A 17,687-nucleotide genomic window follows, 5' to 3' on the forward strand; every position below is an offset into this window, starting at 1 on the left:
GGCTTCTCCCTCATGTATCCCCAGCACCCAGGGCAGAGCCCAGCACATACAGATGTTCAGTACATGCTTGCGAATGCATGAATGACAGGGACAAGAGGAGCCTCACAGGCCCAGCTCACAAGCAGAAAGCCAGAGGCTTAGATTCCAGCCACACATGATCTTGGTCCCCTCCCTCCCCTAAATATGCCACCCCCTACCCAGCCCAGCCTTCATTGTTTCCCTGCCCATATAAAGGGAACAGGGGTAAATGGAGAGATGTCTACAAGTGGAGCCATTTCTGGATCCCCTAATGGGCTTTGTACATACTTCAGTGAACTAAACATAAGAACTGATGAAGTTGTGAGCTGTACTCCAAGGCTCAGTGAAACTGTGTCTCTTTTCTCTGTGTTAAGACCTCACAGCCCTCAGTTTGCTACACCTAGCCATCTCCACTCTGACAGCCTTCTGACCTCAGCTGAGCAATTACTCAGGAGCTCATGGATGAGAGCAAAAATTAACTAAGAAGAAAGAACCATCTCTACATCCAACCAGTGCAGAAGAGTTACAGACAGCCTCCCTTAGCTTATAAAGCACTGTCCTGCCCTTGGCAGTTTGCCTCCAGCTGTACACACAGCCTTCTCCCAGGCACCTGGCTTGAGTTGTCCAAAAGCAGCTCTAACCACTCAGCAACAAATTTATCTGAAGAGGTGTAAAAATGTGCACCACCTTGACTAGGAGTGTCACTCTTGAGAAAGGAGCCTAAGGGCAGAGAGCGGAAGACCAAACACGTGATCATGGTGCCATTAGGGATAGGGCCCAACAAGAGGGGATTTGTTAAGTTCATTCCGGCACATGGAGCTGGAGGAATACCCAACAGCCATCATAAGTGAGCATTAAGGAGACAGCCCAGCAATATGGAAAAGGGTTCATGGAATGAGACAGCACCGTAAACTGGATCCCTCCTCCAATTAAAACCATTCAAGACCATGGGCCTAACCAAGGCATAGAGGAGAATGCAGAGTAGTAAAAACACCATCTTGGGTGGTGGGATTGTAGATGATTATTTTTCTAGTGTTCTGTGGTGTTTCCATTATATTATCTATTATCTTTTTTTTTTCTTCAGACAGAGTCTCACTCTGTCACCCAGGCTGGAATGCAATGGCATGATCTTGGCTCACTGCAACCGCTGCCTCGCAGGTTCAAACGATTCTCCTGCCTCAGCCTCCTTAGTAGCTGGGACTATAGGCATGTGCCACCATGCCCAGCTAATTTTTGTATTTTTTAGTAGAGACAGGGTTTTTCCATGTTGGCCAGGCTGGTCTCAAACCCCTGACCTCAGGTGATCCATCTGCCTCCGCCTCCCAAAGTGCTGGGATTACAGGCATGAGCCACTATGCCCAGCCCACATTATATTGTCTAATAATACAATGGGTAGATGACACTGAAAGCACAGGTAACAAAAGCAAAACATAGACAAGTGGGATTATCTCCATCTAAAAACTTCTGCATAGAAGGAAACAACAGTGAAAAGAAAGCCTGCAGAATGGGAGAAAATCTTTGAAAATTATATATTTGATAAATAAAAGAAACTCCTACACCTCAATATGAAAACAAACAAACACATTACCTAACTAAAAAATAGGCAAAGAACTCGAATAGACATTTCTCCAAAGAAGACATACAAATGGCTGGCAGGAATATGAAAAGCTACTCGACATCACTAATCGTTGGGTGTATTAGTCCATTTTCACACTGCTATAAAGGACTACCTGAGACTGGATAATTTACAAAGGAAAGAGGTTTAAGTGACTCACAGTTCCGCGTGGCTGGGGAAGCCTCAGGAAACTTACAATCATGGAGGAAAGCAAAGGGGAAGCAAGGCACATCTTACACAGCAGTGAGAGAGAGAGAGAGAGAGGGAGAGAGGAAAAGAGAGAGAGGGAGAGAGAGAGAGACTTTTTCTTTTTAATTTATAAGGAAAAGAGGTTTAATTGACTCACAGTACCACAGGCTTAACAGGAAATATAACTGGGAGGCCTCAGGAAACAAACAATCATGGCAGAAGGCAGATGGAAACAGGTACATCTTCCCATGACAGAGCAGGAGAGAAAGAAAGAGCAAATGCGGAGGGGCCACACAGTTTTAAATGCCAGAAGTGCCACAGTTTTAAACCATTGGATCTCGTGAGAACTCACTGTCATGAGAACAGCATGGGGAAAACCAGTCCCATGATCCATTCACCTCCCACCAGGTCCGTCCCTTGACACATGGGGATTAAAATTCGAGAGGAGATTTGGGTGGGGACACAGAGCCAAACCATATAATCAGAGAAATGCAAATCAAAACCACAATGAGATACCATCTCACACCTGTTAAGATATCCATGATCCAAAAAATAAATAAATAAATAAGACAGAAAATAACAAGCATTGACAAGTATGTGGAGAAATAGGAAAAATGGTATAGTCACTGTGGAAAACAGAATGGTGGTTCCTCAAAATATTATAAATAGGACTGCCATATGATCCAGCAGTCCCTGTTCTGGTTGTTTATCCAAAATAATCAAAATCAGGATCTCAAAGAGATATTTGCACTCCCATGTTCATTGTAACACTATTCACAATGGCCAAGAGATGGAAACAATATAAATGTCCATCAACAGATAAATAAAGAAAATGTGGGCTGTGTTGGCAGCTCACACCTGTAATTCCGGCACTTTGGGAGGCTAAGGCAGGTGGATTGCTCGAGCTCAGGAGTTTGAGACCAGCCTTTGGCAACAAACTAAGACCCCATCTCTACAAAAAATAAAAAATTAGCTGGGTGGTGGCATGTGCCTGTAGTCACAGCTACTCGAGAAGCTGAGAAGGGGAAATGCTTGAGCCTAGGAGGTTGAGGCTGCAGTGGACCAATATCACACCACTGCACTCCAACCTGGGTGACAGAGAGAGATCTTGTCTGAAAGGAAGAAAGCAGGAGAGGGGAGGGAAGGAGAGGGGAAGAGAGGGGAGGGGAGAGAGAGGGGAAGGAGGAGGGGAAGGGGGAGGGGGAAGAAAGGAAGGAAAAAAGAAAAGAAAATAAAAGAACAAAGAAAAGAAAATGTGGCATATCCATACAATGGGACATTACTCAGCCTTAAAAAAGGAAGAAAATCCTGTCACATGCTACAATGTGGATGAATCTTAAGGACATTGTGCCAAGAGAAATAAGCTAGTCCCAAAAAGATAAATATTGCATGATTCCACATATATGAGATATCTAAAGTAGTCAAGCTCATAGAAACAGAAAGTAGAATGAAAAAGTAGAATGGTGGCTGCCGGGGCTGGGGTGGGGGTGAAGGGAAGAATAGGGAGTTGCTGTTCAATGAGTATAGAGCTTCAGTCATGCAAGACGAAAAATTCTAGAGATGTGCTGTAAATAATGTGCATATAGGTAACAATACTGTACTGTACACTTAAAATTTAAGAGTTTTTTTTTTAAAAAAGACTTGGTGAGTTATAATATGCAAGTTTTAATAAATAGCATCCTATCAAAAATGAAATAAAATAAAATGTGGAGGTAGAAATTAATTCTGTAACATTTATTATGTATTACTATATTATTTATTTATTTTAAATTTAAAAAGTTTTTTTTTTTTATTTTTTGAGACAGAGTCTTGCTCTGTTGCCCAGGCTGCAGTGCAATGGCACAATCTCAGTTCACTGCCACATCCCAGGCTCAAGCAATTGTCATGCCTCAGCCTCCCGAGTAGCTGGGATTACAGGAGTGAGCCACTATGCCTAGCTAATTTTTTTGTATTTTTAGGAAAGACGGGGTTTCGCTATGTTGGCCAGGCTGGTCTTAAACTCCTGGCCTCAAACGATCCACCCACCTCAGCCTCGCAAAGCGCTGGCATTACAGGCAGTAGCCACCGTGCCTCGCTATTACTATATTATTTATTATATTACTCCTTCTAACTTATAGCTGAGGGCATTTGGGACAGGGCCTCCCATGAGAGCTTTTATAAGAGACCTAATTCAGGAGTTAGGAAAACGAGGAAGGGGCATCATAGTCCCACTTCTGACACCAACTCGCTGTGTGATTTTAGTCCAGCTGCTTCTCCCTCTGGCCTCAGTCTCTTCATCTGCCAAATAAACAGGTGGCACAGTGCCGAGAAAAGCCCAAGAGAAGCATAAAAGGTAACCTGTGTGTCCCCGAGGCTGAGCTTGGGACTATAAGGGTGTCTGATTTGGCAGGAGACGGTGGCGGCAACACGGTTGAGGGTGGATTCTCTTCTGCCATGAGGGGGCAGCTATCAGCATCAGTATCTTCCACCTGCACTTCTGGGTGCTGTTTCGTGGCAGGCACTGGGGGAGAGGAAGGAGAGGAGAAAGTCAGAGAGAGACAAAAGCTGGGTCCCAGGAGTCCAGCTGTGTTCTTGAAGAAAACCAGAGAAAGCATGTTTGGAGGGGACTCTGATAGCTTCACTTCCCAATGGGGCACACAGAAAAGCTCCATGCAGGGGGTACAGGAACGTGGTGCCTGGGGTCCTCTGAGGGTCACAGCCACCAGCCCAGGAGCCACGAAAGAAGCCACAAAGCCACAGAAACCACGGGAGCTCCCCTACACAGCCTGGAGCCCAGCTCTCCTAGCTCTCAAAGCCCAGTTTGGTTTCCCTGCACTTGAGCAAGCTCCAAGAGCTGAGGCAGTGGCAGCCCCCAGAGAGGACACAGGAGAGCCAGAGTCCTGGCGCCTGGCCTAGCACAGCCTGAGTCAGCTGCTTCCCCTCTCTGAGCTTCAGTTTCCCCACCCCAAGTTAGGGTGACCATGCCTTCCCAGGCCTGTGGGGAGGAGCCAGAAGGCACAAGTACTCACATTCTTAAAGATTCTTTTTTTTTTTTTTTTTTTTGAGTCGGAGTCTCGCTCTGTCTCCCAGGCTGGAGTGCAGTGGTGCAATCTCAGTTCACCCCAAGCTCCTTCTCCTGGGTTCATGCCATTCTCCTGCCTCAGCCTCCCGAGTAGCTGGGACTACAGGCTCCCGCCACCACGCCCGGCTAGTTTTTGTTTTGTTTTGTTTTGTTTTTTTGAGACAGAGTCTTGCTCTGTCACCCAGGCTGGAGTGCAGTGGCACAGTCTCGGCTCATTGCAAGCTCCGCCTCCCAGGGTTCATGCCATTCTCCTGCCTCAGCCTCCCAATTAGCTGCGAATACAGGCACCTGCCACCACGCCCGGCTAATTTTTTGTATTTTTAGTAGAGACCGGGTTTCACCGTGTTAGCCAGGATGGTCTCGATCTCCTGACCTCGTGATCCACCTGCCTCGGCCTCCCAAAGTTGCTGGGATTACAGGTGTGAGCCACTGCACCCAGCCAAGTCCTCACATTCTTTTTAAAAATTATTTTATTTGTTTGCTTTTGAGAAGGGGGGGCGGGTCTCACTCTGTCACCCAGGCTGGAGTGCAGTGGCACGATTGCAGCTCACTGCAACCTCTGCCTCCTGCAACCTCTGCCTCCCAGACTCAAGTGATCTTCCCGGCAGCCTCCCGAGTAGCTGGGACCACAGACGCACACCACCATGCTCGGCTAATTTTTGTGTTTGTGTAGAGATGAGGTCTCACCATGTTGCCCAGGCTGGTCTCGAACTCCTGAGCTCAGGTGATCCACCTACCTTGGCCTCCCAAAGTGCTGGGATTACAGGCGTGAGCCACTGGGCCCGGCTGGCCTCACATTCTTGAAGAGCATCAAATGGAGACATTTGCAGGGTCCCTCCAATCAAGGGTAACAGACTGTGTAGTGTGTGCTACTTCCTATTTGGATAACTGCTTGGTTATGTCCTTGTTCTTGTACATGCCAGGGGCCCCCAAATTCATCAGCTAGCCTGACTCTGGACCTCTGAGAGGCCCTGTACTGTGTCCCACATTCTGAGAATCAGGTCCTCTCCAGGGAGCCTGGACGTGGCCCTACCTTGGGCTCCATCACCCACCTCAGGGACTGCAGGGACAGGTCTGCCCCAAGTCCAAGCTCAGAGGATACTGAGAGGCTGGGATAGTATTCCTCCTTCTCCCCTACACCTAGGGGGGTCTACCCAATAGCAGCTGGGCACAGGTGTGGGCACCAGCAAGGCAGGCAGGGATACACCCCCCAAAAGCGGGAAGCAGGGAGATTTTGAAATAATTATATATGTGCTTTTTGTTTCTTTTTCTTTCTTTTCTTTTCTTTTTTTTTTTTTTTTGAGATGGAGTCTCGCTCTGTCGCCTAGGCTGGAGTATAGTGGTGTGATCTCGGCTCACTGCAACCTCTGCCTCCCAGGTTCAAGCCATTCTCCTGCCTCAGACTCCTGAGTAGCTGGGATTACAGGCCCCTGCCACCACGCCTGGCTAATTTTTGTATTTTTAGTGGAGACGGGGTTTCACCATGTTGTCCAGGCTGGTCTTGAACTCCTGATCTCAGGTGATCTGCCGGCCTTGGCCTCCCAAAGTGCTGGGATTACAGGCATGAGCCACCGCACCCAGCCGATATGGGGTTTTTTTCAAATGGCCTTTATAAGAAAAGCCGGCACTCTGTTAAATTGCTTACACTTACTCTATAGTTTAATGGAGTGAACCCTAAATCCTCTGGAGAAGAGGATGAGCAGGAATGGAGAAGTTGTTAAAAATGTAAAGGGGGCCAGGCACAGTTGCTCATGCCTGTAATCCCAGCACTTTGGAAGGCTGAGGTGGAAGGATCCCTTAAGTTCAAGAGCAGCCTGAGCAACATAGCAAAACCCCACCTCTACAAAAAAATTCAAAAATCGGCTGGTCACAGTGTTCCAGCTACTTGGGAGGCTGAGGTTGGAGGATAGGTTGAACCTGGGAGGTAGAACCTGCAATGAGTCAAGATCGCGCCTACTACACTCCAGCCTTAGCGAAAGAGCGAGACCCTGTCTCACAAAATAATAAAAAATAAAATAAAATGGAAGTAATGTTCTTACTACAGCTTCTCATTACCTTGTCTGTAGCATCTAGAATCATCATGTACTCTAGCACAGCTAGATCAGCCCCCTGTGTCAATGTGTCCCCGGGAACATTTTCCCAAGTGTGGGGCTCCCAGAGACTGGGGAGGACACGAGATGATCTCAGATGGTACAGACAAGGCAAAGTATAACCTAGAATAAGAATGTTACTCCTGGTCGGGCGCAGCAGCTCACGCCTGTAATTCCAGCACTTTGGGAGGCTGAGGCAGGAGGATGACCTGAAGTTAGGAGTTTGAGGCCAGCCTGGCCAACATGGAGAAACTCCATCTCTACTAAAAATACAAAAATTCCCCAGGCCTGGTGGCATGTGCCTATAATCCCAGCTACTCAGGAGGCTGAGACAGGTGAATGGCGTGAACCCGGGAGGCGGAGCTTGCAGTGAGCTGAGATTGCGCCACTGCACTTCAGCCTGGGTGGCAAAGCCAGATTCTGTCTCAAAAAAAAAAAAAAAAGCAGCAGTGGTTGCAGTGAGCCAAGATCGCGCCACTGCACTCCAGCCTGGGCAACAGAGCAAGACTCCATCTCAAAAAAAAAAAAAAAAAGTTACACCCTCTTTTAGTGAATACCCAGAGAGGAAGTCTCGGGTCGGTGCCACTGTGGCCTTAGAGCCTCTCTCACACAGCCTAATCCCACTTGTGGCTAACAGAGCAGGCCCAGCTTCGAGCCTGCAGCAGGCCCATCCGTCTCATTAGAAAACAGCAACACCATTGTGTTTTCAGTGTATTTGAGGTTATTTTTATTTATGCCTCTGTTTATGGCAAGCAATGCTGGTTTTCCATTTGAATAGTAATAAAGTTTTCCTGTTTAAATATACTTAATTAAATAAAAAAGAGAATCCACTGAAAGAAAAATAGTAAGCAAATAAAATTAGAATTGAGGCCGGGCACAGTGGCTCATGCCTGTACTCCCAGCACTTTGGGAGGCTGAGGTGGGCAAATCACCTGAGGTCAGGAGTTCAAGACCAGCCTGACCAACATGGCAAAACCCTGTCTCTACTAAAAATACAAAAATTAGCCCGGAAAGGTGGTGCACACCTGTGGTCCCAGCTACTCGGGAGGCGGATGTTGCAGTGAGCCGAGATGGTGCCACAACACTCCAGCCCGAGCAACAGAGCAAGACTCCGTCCCCCCCCAAAAAAAAATAGAATTGGTACAGATTTAGCAGTTATCAGGGAGTGGCCTGTGGCGGTGGGAGCTGGGGGATGCTTTGGGGTCTTTTTGCTTTGTTTCCTTTTTCTTTTTTTTTTTAAGCAATTCAGCATCCTCAATGATAGGGGTGGGCTGCTTTGGAGTAGTAGATTCAAGGCTTGCCTACCAGAAGATGGAGGCCGGGGTGGCACCCCTTACTGTTGGATGACCTCCATGCCACCTCATCTCCTCTCTGTGCCCACCTCAAGCCAGGGAGAGGAGAGAAGGACAACAGTGGACGTCTTCCCGTGAAATGTTCTGTCCTGCCTGGTTGGACTGATCTCAGAGGCAGCTCTGCACCGTGTCAACCACAAATAAACAAACAAGCCAATCAAAAGGGCAAGCAGGCATGTCTGGCTTGGGTTAAGTCAGAAAGTGACAGGGGTTAGTCCAGGGTGCCAGTATGTTCCTGAGCTCTTTGTCATCAGGGAGTGAGCAGTAGCAGCCCAAAGGCCACTACGGGGACCTTGTCACAATCAATGGATCCAGACAGCCCTCCCTCCACCCTAGCCTCTGAGGATGACTATCTGCACCTGGAGCTTCTTTCCTGAAATGGAATTTGCTGAGCAGCAAACTGTCAAGGTCAGTGGGTTCTGTCTGCAATCAGCACCCACATTACTCTTCTATTCCATTTCCCTCCTTTCACTCCCCTCCACTCCGATCCCAGACTCCCTGTCCAAGCCTCTCGGCCTAGAGATCTGAGCAAGTGACTTGTTTAAACTAAGGTTTATAAGGTTTTACCTGTATAAAAACAATGTGCCTAAAGAAAGGAATATATGTTTAACCCAAAGAAATGAATTGCTGGCCAGGCACAGTGGCTTATGCCTGTAATCCCAGCACTTTGGGAGGCCGAGGTGGGCAGATCATTTGATATCAGGAGTTTGAGACCAGCCTGGCCAACATAGCAAAACCCCGTCTCTACTAAAATACAAAAAGTAGTCAGGCGTGATGGCGTATGCCTGTAATCCCAGCTACTCGGGAGGCTGAGGCACAAGAATTGCTGGGAGGCAGAGGTTGCAGTGAACTGAGATCATGTCACTGCATTCCAGCCTGGGTGACAGAGAGAGACTCTGTCTCAAAAAACAAACAAACAAAAAAAAAACAAAAGAAAAGAGAGAAAGAGGAAGAGAAAGAGAGAGAAAAAAATAAATGAATTGCTAATTGTGGTGGAATTTTAGGCAGGAAGAGAAGGGGGCTACAACCCCTCAAGTCACTATCACAAAGCAGGATGAAGGTATTGATCGGCAGAGGAAAAGGAGATGGTTTTCCATAAGCAACTAGTGGTCCACACTATGACCACAGCACCCAGGCAGGAAGACAGCCCCAGCCATGCAGAAGCACACGCCACAGATATGAGAATGCTGGGTGGGCAAGATCGTGCTACCTAGTTGGCGGATGGAGCTCCTGGTCTCCTTGGCGAAGCTGGAGTTGGACAAGCTGGTTCTCCGGGAGGTGAGGACAGGGATGCGGGTGATTGGGATGCGGTAGCTGGGCACATTAGGGAGATGCTCTACCAGGTTTTGGAGGGCAGAGGCAGAGGCCACCTGGCCAGGTATCTGGTCCTGGACTAGGCAATTCAGCTCCATGTTCTGACATGGTGTAGCCATGGTGCTGGGGCCAGAGAGTCTCAGGCAGAGGAGTGACCCTGGGGACTGCAATTAGGAGCACAGAGTTGGAGGAGACAATAGGTGGGGGTCCTCCCACCAGCCTAACACGACCAGCCTGGTGCCTACCTGCATTTTCAGCAGTGCTACCCAAAGCCAGAAGCATCGCTCTTGTCCCTGGAGTTCAACGTCTAATGTGTCATCAGGTCATGTGGCTGGCCCACCCAGGAGCACCGAGGGACAGCCCAGGAGGCCCCCAACTTCCCATGCTCCCTCCACTTACCAACCACCGGCAGCATTTCCCAAAAATATTAGAATCAAAGAACCCAGAACTCACAGAATCTCAGATTCTTAGACCCAAGAAACCCAGGACTCGAACATTCTTAGCCTGGTAGAATTTTCCAGTCCAAAGCAGCCCTGGAGGTCAACTAATTTCACTTCCAACCAGAAGCAGTAACTCTTCCTATGGCCCTGGTTCCCCAACTGGGCTGTGCATTGGAATCACCTGGGAAGGTTTGACAATTTCTGTTACCCAGGCCCATTCCCAGAGATTCTGACTTAATGGCTGGGATGAGGCCTGGCAGCAGGAATTTTTAAATCTCCCCAGGTGATTCCAATGGGCTGTCAGGTTTGAGGACCAGGGCTCAAGGCTATTGCCCCTCAAACACAAATGTGCAGACAAATCACCAGGAGATCTTGTTACCACGAGGAGTCTGATTTAGCAGGTCTGGATCGCGGCCCAAGTTACTCATTTCTAACCAGCTCCTGGGTTACGCCAAAGCTGCTGGGTCTAGGTCCATACTTTTGAGTGCAAATGGCTATGCCTCAGCATTTCTCAGAGTGTGGGTCCCAGACCACCTGCTTCCAAATCACCTGGGAAGGGGCAGAACCCACCCCACTGAACCAAGCCTGCACCTGTTTGCTCCTGGTCTTTTTCATCCATGTGGGGACCCAGCCCCAGGCCTGGACTTAGTAGGAATTCCTATAAATATGTGTTGAAGTTAACAGAGAACACTTTTCAAAGACCAAGTAGGGAGCAAGCTCAGGATACCCAGGGTTAGGACACTTGGGTCCAGTCCCATTTCAACCACTCGCTGGCCGAGACACATCCTCGTCCCAATATTGACTCCTCCCTCAGTGCCAGCCACAGTTTGGGGTGCCTTGGACACATTGTCTCCCCTACTCTGCCCAGCAACCTGTGAGCTAGGTACTATTATTGCCCCTTTTTTCTTGATTTGGAAGTCATGGTTCAGACAGGTCACAGAACTGGCTCTGGGTCACACAGCAAGGAAGAGAGAAAGGAGCCAGGAGTGAAATGCAGGTCTGTGCCTTGACCTCTTGGCCAAATCCGCACACACAGAGCCTCAGTTTTCTCATCTGTAAAATGGTCTGTCTGCCTCACAGAGCGGCTGAAGACCCATTGCGTGGGGAATGTGGAGTGTAAGGCACGCAACACCTGCCGGCCAGGGGTTGGGTCCCACCTGTCCCAGCTCCAGGGTCCAGCTGTTGCTGGACTCCTTGGGACTCTTTCTCCGCCATTGCTTGAGTTCTCAGGATTGAGGGCAGGGTGGTAAATCACAGCAAAATGTATGTGCTGGGTACAGCTGGAGATCAGGAAAAGCTCATAAAGAGACATGGAGTCCAGGACACTCTGTTAGGAAGTTCTGGTTCCAGTTTTCACTCAGCTATGTGATGTCTGAGCCAAACCCTCACTGGGCGGTAGCCCAAGAGCTGCATCCTCATTGAGCGGAAGTGGCAGGAGAGGCTGGCAGGAGGGACTGGCTGGGAGGGGCTGGTTAGGAGGGGCCTGCAGGAGGGGCTGGCAGGGAGAGGCTGGAAGGAAGGAGTTGGCTGGGATCGGGATTTCCCCGGCGCCACTGGGAGTCCTGGGCCTCAGTGAAATTCCTTAGAACCTTTGAGATGTATCAGTAGGCTCTGATAATGTGGCCCCAAGACACCAAGGATGGGATTTTCCTGAAGACAGGGTGGCTGAGGGGGCAATGGGGGGAAGGAGATGGAGGGAGAGGAGGAGGGGTTGCCCCTGCACGAAGGCTGCCTCCAGCCTAAAAGGACCTCAGACATTCTTGCGCAACCCATCACCACCACCACCACACCTACCTCCTGAACTGGCAGCCTCGGCCTCAGCCTCAGGCTCCTCCTTGGTCTCCGCCCAGTCCTGGGGCTCCTTTTCAGCCTCCTCTTCAGCCACCTCCTCGGCCTCCTCCTTGGCCTTCTCTTCAGCCTCCTTCTTGGCCTCCTCCCCAACTTCCTCCCACAGCTTCTGCAGAGAATAAAGTGAAAACAGAAACTGTGACCATCAGCCCCCAGCCCTAGTCTCAGCAGCTCCTGTTAGATCTGCCTTCAGAAGTCCACATGGGCCCAGTTCTGCTTCTTGCCCTGCCCAGCCAGTCAGGTCCTGCCAGCCCACCTTCTGGGCATCCTGGGAGTAGCCTACAACCTGTAGAGGGCAGTGCACCCAGGACCTACGGGTCCTAACAGCTGGACGTGTCACCTGTGATGAGGGACACTCGCAGCCTGGCACATGGGGGAACAAAGCATCGACAGCACCACTCTTCACAGTGTGCAAGCCCTTTTGGGTCCTCCTACAGGCCCAAGGGAGGCGTCTGTAGCCCCCTCGTGCACAGGTGGCCACTGGGACCCAGAGTGGGGAGGCGACTTGCCCCAAGCCAGGCACCCACAGGAGGACTCGAGCTGGGTCCACCCGTCTCCCCACCCACGGCCTGGGCCGCTATCTGACCCCTGCCAAGAGGGGGCCTCGCAGGACCCGCCACCCTGCTCCCTCTGTCCTGCGGGCATCTTACCAGCCAAAACTCCCCCTGTAAGCAAAGTGGACAAGGTCCCCATCCTTCCACCAATGCCAAGCCAGGCCTCAGAGGTGCCAGTGCCTGGTGCTTCTCATACCTGATCTGAAGTGCTCTGGGGCCGGGTCCCGTCTTCTTCACTCTGGCCCACGCCCACCTGCGACACCACACAGCTATCCAGCAGCACCCTGTGACCCGGGGCGGGGTGGGGAGGATAAAAGGACTGGGTTAGGGTGTTAAAGGTTTCCCCAGCCCTGCTGAGGGCCACGCTCTGTGCCAGGAGCGGAGGGTACAGAGATGCCCAAGAACCAGTCTCAACCTCAGGAGCCTCCAGGGCAGTGTCCTACTAACAATCACCCCATCTGAGACATGCACTCAGCAAGGCACTGTGAAGGACATGCCACAACTCTGCTAGGAAGGAGGGCTTCCTAGAGGAGGTGGCCTGTAAGCTGAGCCTCCAGGATGATGATTTTACCACAAAGAATGGTGGGGAGGAAAAGGTTGTCCAGGAAATGAGAACAACATGTGCGAGAAATGCATGGAGGACGGTTGGAGGAGCTGTCATCTGGGGTCTCCCAGTCTCCAGGCAATCTTGGTGATGGGTAGAGCATGACAAAAGTGAGGCCCAGAGAGGTGAAGTGACCTGGCAAAATCACACAGCAAATTGTCCCAAACCACACAAACCTCAAACCCAGGCCCTGGTTCTTCCCATGCCATGAGATCAGAGCCACTGCAACTGCTGAAGTTTTCATGGGTGCCGGGCCCAAGCAGCAGGCATACATAAGTGATAGGGCCAGGGGTGAGGGTGCAGTGGGCAGGGAGGGCTGTGGCAAATTAGCGAACCCATGTCCATTTGAAGGCAGCAACCCCACTCCGCTGGAAAAGGGGGCCCAGGTGGCCAGATCATTCCATTTTCAAACAGAGCCTGAAATATATGTTTCTAAGGTAAAGTTGTCTGATATTTAGATGCTGATAATTCAAATTAATATATCTTTATTAATATGTAGTAGCCAAAAGAGCCCATCTCCAGGCTAAATTAGATGTCCGTGTGCGACCTCTGGGTTAAAATGATGACTCAGGACCAGGGACTAATGTGATTTTTGTAGTTAGGATTAGTTCCTGCTTCCTAACACCCCCTCCCCACCCCTCAGACTCCTGTCATCCAGGGGTTCACAGAGGATGCTCTGGGGTGTCTGCCACCCAGGAAACTTGAATGCATCATTCTCTACCCAGAGGGCCAAGTCTCAGCCCTCCTGAGCAAGGACGGTGGGGCAGGAAGGTGGAGACGGGATTGTTGCCTAGTCGGTCTGGAGCCAGCCGCTTGGCAGCAGAAATCAGTCGGTAATCACATTGCCACAGCGGCTCCTGGGCTGCGTGCCAGGCAGTCTGCATGAAAAGTCTCCCCAGATCCTCCTCCAAATTACCTTGAGAAATCTATAAACGCGGTACACCACAGCAACAAAATCATATGATCATCTCAATAGATGCAGAAAAAGTAATTGACAACATTCAACATCATTCCATGATCAAATCTTTCAACCAATTACATATAGAAGAAATGGACCGCAATACAATAAAGGTCATATGTGACAAGCCCGCAGCTGACATCATACCTAATGGTGAAAAGCTGAAAGCTTTTCCTTTAAGATCAAGAACAAGACAAGCATACCCACCCTCACTAGTTATTTATTTTTCTTTTCCTTTTTATTTATTTATTTATTTATTCATTTATTTTTGAGACAGGGTCTTACTCTGTCACCAAGGCTGGAGTACAATGGCATGATCATGGCTCACTACAGCCTCAACCTCCCAGGCTCAAGCCATCCTCCTGCTTCAGCCTCCCGAGTAGCTGGGACTACAGGCATGCTCCACCACTCCTGGCTATTTTTGTTTTTGTTTGGTTTGGTTTGGTTTGGTTTGGTATTTTTAGTAGAGATAGGGTCTTGCTACATTGCCCAGGCTGGTCTCAAACTCCTGGGCTCAAGTGATCCTCCCACCTTGGTCTCCCAAAGTGCTAGGATTATAGGTGTGACCCACCACGCCTGGCCCACTCTCACCACTTCTATTCAATGTACTATAAGAGGTCCTGGCTAGAGCAATTAGGCAAGAGGAAGAAATGAAAGGCATCCAAATTGGAAGGGAAGAAATTAAATTGTTCCTCTTTGCAGATAATTTGATCTTATATATAAAAAAAAACCCTAAAGATTCCACCAAAAAACTGTTAGAACTGATAAGCCAATTCAGTAAAGTTGCAGGATATAAAATCAACATAGAAAATTCAGTAGCATTTCAATATATTAACAATGAACTATCTGAAAAAGAAATGAAACAACCCAATTTACAATAGCTATAAAATAAAATAAAATGCTTAGGAATAAATTTAATCAAGAAGGTGACAGAACCATATGCTGAAAACTATAAAACATCGACGAAAGAAACTCAAGAAGATGGCTGGATGTGGTGGCTCATGCCTGTAATCTCGGCATTTTGAGAGGCTGAGATGGGAGGATTGCTTGAGTGCAGGAGTTCGAGACCAGCCTGAACAACACGGCAAAATCCCAACTCTATAAGATACAAAAACTAGCTGGGTGTGGTGGCATGTGCCTGTGGTCCAAGCTACTTGGAAGGCTGAGGTGGGAGGATTGCTTGAGCCTGGGAGGTGGAGGCTGCAGTGAGCCGTGATTGCACCACTGTACTCCAGCCTGGGCAACAGAGCAAGACCCTGTCTCAAAAAAAAAAAAAAACCCTACCCACATTGATTGAACACTACTTAAATGTAAAATCTGAAACTATAAAACCAATATATAAAATATAGGGGAAAAACCCTATGATATTGGTCTAAGCAATGATTTTTAAAAATATGAACCCAAGAGCACAGGCAATGAAAGCAAAAATATACAAAATGGGATTACATCAAACTAAAAAGCTTCTGCACAGCCAAGGAAACAATCAACATAGTGAAGAAACACCCTACAGAACGGGAGAAAATACTTGCAAACCGTAAGTCAAATAAGGGGTTAATATCCAAAATATATAAGAAACTCAACTCAATTGTAAGGAAAAAAACTGATTTTAAAAAATGGGCAAAGAATCTGAATAGACATTCCTCGGTGTCTCAAAAGATGACATACAAATGGCCAACAGGTATATGAAAAGATGCTTAACATCACTAATCATCAGAGAAATGCAAATCAAAACCGCAATGAAATATTAACTTCTCACCTGTTAGAATGGCAATTATCAAAAAAACAAGATAGGCCGGGTGCAGTGGCTCACACCTGTAATCCAAGCACTTTGGGAAGCCGAGGTGGGTGGATCATGAGGTCAGGAGTTCGAGACCAGCCTGGCCAACATTGTGAAACCCTGTCTCTACTAAAAATACAAAAATTAGGCGGGCATGGCAGCACACTTCTGTAATCCCAGCTACTTGGCAGGCTGAGGCAGGAGAATTGCTTGAACCCAGGAGGCGGAGGTTGCAGTGAACTGAGATTGCACCATTGCACTCCAGCTGTCTGTCGCCCTGCCCCCACCCGAAAAAAGACAAGATAGCAAGTGTTGGTGAGGATGCAGTGGAAAGGGAACACTTACACACTGTTGGTGGGATTGTAAATTCACACAGCCATTATGGAAAAGAATACGGAAGTTCCACCAAAAGTTAAAAATGGAACTACCATATGATTCAGCTGTTGGGTACAGATCCAAGGGAAATGAAAACAGTACGTTGAAGAGGTGTCTGCACTCCCATCATTGCAGCATTAATTTTTTTTTTTTCAAGACAGAGTCTCGCTGTGTTGCCCAGGCTGGAGTGCAATGACGCGATCTCAGCTCACTGCAACCTCAGCCTCCCGAGTTCAAGTGAGTCTCCTGCCTCAGCCTCCCGAGTAGCTGGGAGTACAGGCCCATGTTACCACACCCGGCTAATTTTTGTATTTTTAGTAGAGTCGGGGTTTCACCATGTTGGCCAGGCTGGTCTTGAACTCCTGACCTCAGGTGATCCACCTGCCTCAGCCTCCCAAGTGTCTATCAACAGATGAGTGGATCAAGGAAATGTCCTATATATACACAATAGAATTCAGCCTTTAAGATGAAGGAAATTTTGTCATTTGTGAACCTTGAGGACATTATGTTAAGTGAAATAAGCTAAACACAGAAAGACACATACCATATGATCTCACTTATACGTGGAGTGTAAAAAAGTTGAACTCACAGAAGGAGAGAATAGAATGGTAGTTACCAGGGGCTGGGGAGGGGTGAGAGGTGGGGAGATAGATGTTGGTTAAAGGGTACAAAGATTCAGCTAGATAGGAAGCACAAATGTGAGAGATCTATTATACAGCCTGTGACTCTAGTTAATAGCAATGTATTTGTAAAAATTGTTAAGAGTAGATCTAAACTGTTCTCACCACAAAAAATGATGAACATATGAGGAAATGTGTATGTTAATTAGCTCAATTTAGCCATTCCACAATGTATACATAATTCAAAACAACAATTATACACAAAAATATATACAATTTATGTCAATTGAAAAAATAATTAGGCTGGGCACGGTGGCTCATGCCTGTAATCCCAGCACTTCGGGAGGTCGAGGTGGGCGGATCACTTGAGGTCAGAAGTTTGAGACCAGCCTGGCCAATTTGGCAAAACCCGCCTCTACTAAAAATACAAAAATTAGCCAGGCACAGTGGTACATGCCTGTAATCCCAGCTACTCAGGAGGCTGAGGCAGGAGAATCGCTTGAACCCAGGAGGCAGAGATTGCAGTGAGCCAGTATCATGCCACTCCACTCCCTGGGCAACAGAGCGAGACTCTGTCTTTAAAAAAAAAAAAAAAAAAAAAACAAGAAAAGAAAAAATAATTAACTTTTTAAAAGAGCCTAGGGAAAAAAAAACTCAAATCTCACATAACCCTGACAGATCGTAACTGTTACTGCTCACATGCAAGCTGAGAAAACAGAGGCTCAGAGAGTTTCGATGGCCAATCCACGGTCATACCGCCTGTGCAAGGTGGGCCTGGATAAGATACTGCATCACTGACCCCAAGGCCACGTGCTTAATGCTCTGTTTCACTGCCTGCCTCTGAGTATTTTGGAGACTGTGCCTTCTACACT

The 17,687-nt window shown here is 48.2% G+C and overlaps 1 protein-coding gene across 2 annotated transcripts in view, besides 2 other annotated features; it reads right to left on the bottom strand.

The window, feature by feature from the left end:
• The window catches only part of CNGB1 (cyclic nucleotide gated channel subunit beta 1), an 88,789-nt gene that overhangs the window by 45,217 nt on the left and 25,885 nt on the right, over positions 1-17,687 (bottom strand). For both annotated transcript variants that reach the window (NM_001286130.2, NM_001297.5), the window contains exons 15-17: positions 12,678-12,765; positions 11,874-12,036; positions 4,160-4,322 (exon numbers count right to left, since the gene is read on the bottom strand). In NM_001286130.2, coding sequence (NP_001273059.1) covers positions 4,160-4,322; positions 11,874-12,036; positions 12,678-12,765 — 414 coding nt within the window. The remainder of the gene's footprint in view (positions 1-4,159; positions 4,323-11,873; positions 12,037-12,677; positions 12,766-17,687) is intronic.
• Positions 11,247-12,074: an enhancer, noted in NCBI's record as "H3K4me1 hESC enhancer chr16:57972707-57973534 (GRCh37/hg19 assembly coordinates)". NCBI's record gives its function as "activates a minimal SCP1, AML or CMV promoter by ChIP-STARR-seq in primed H9 embryonic stem cells {active_cell/tissue: H9 hESC(primed)}" and the evidence as "EXISTENCE:reporter gene assay evidence [ECO:0000049][PMID:30033119]".
• Positions 12,075-12,902: an enhancer, noted in NCBI's record as "H3K4me1 hESC enhancer chr16:57973535-57974362 (GRCh37/hg19 assembly coordinates)". NCBI's record gives its function as "activates a minimal SCP1, AML or CMV promoter by ChIP-STARR-seq in primed H9 embryonic stem cells {active_cell/tissue: H9 hESC(primed)}" and the evidence as "EXISTENCE:reporter gene assay evidence [ECO:0000049][PMID:30033119]".

This window comes from Homo sapiens, chromosome 16 (genome assembly GCF_000001405.40).
Source record: "Homo sapiens chromosome 16, GRCh38.p14 Primary Assembly".
NCBI lineage: Eukaryota > Metazoa > Chordata > Mammalia > Primates > Hominidae > Homo > Homo sapiens.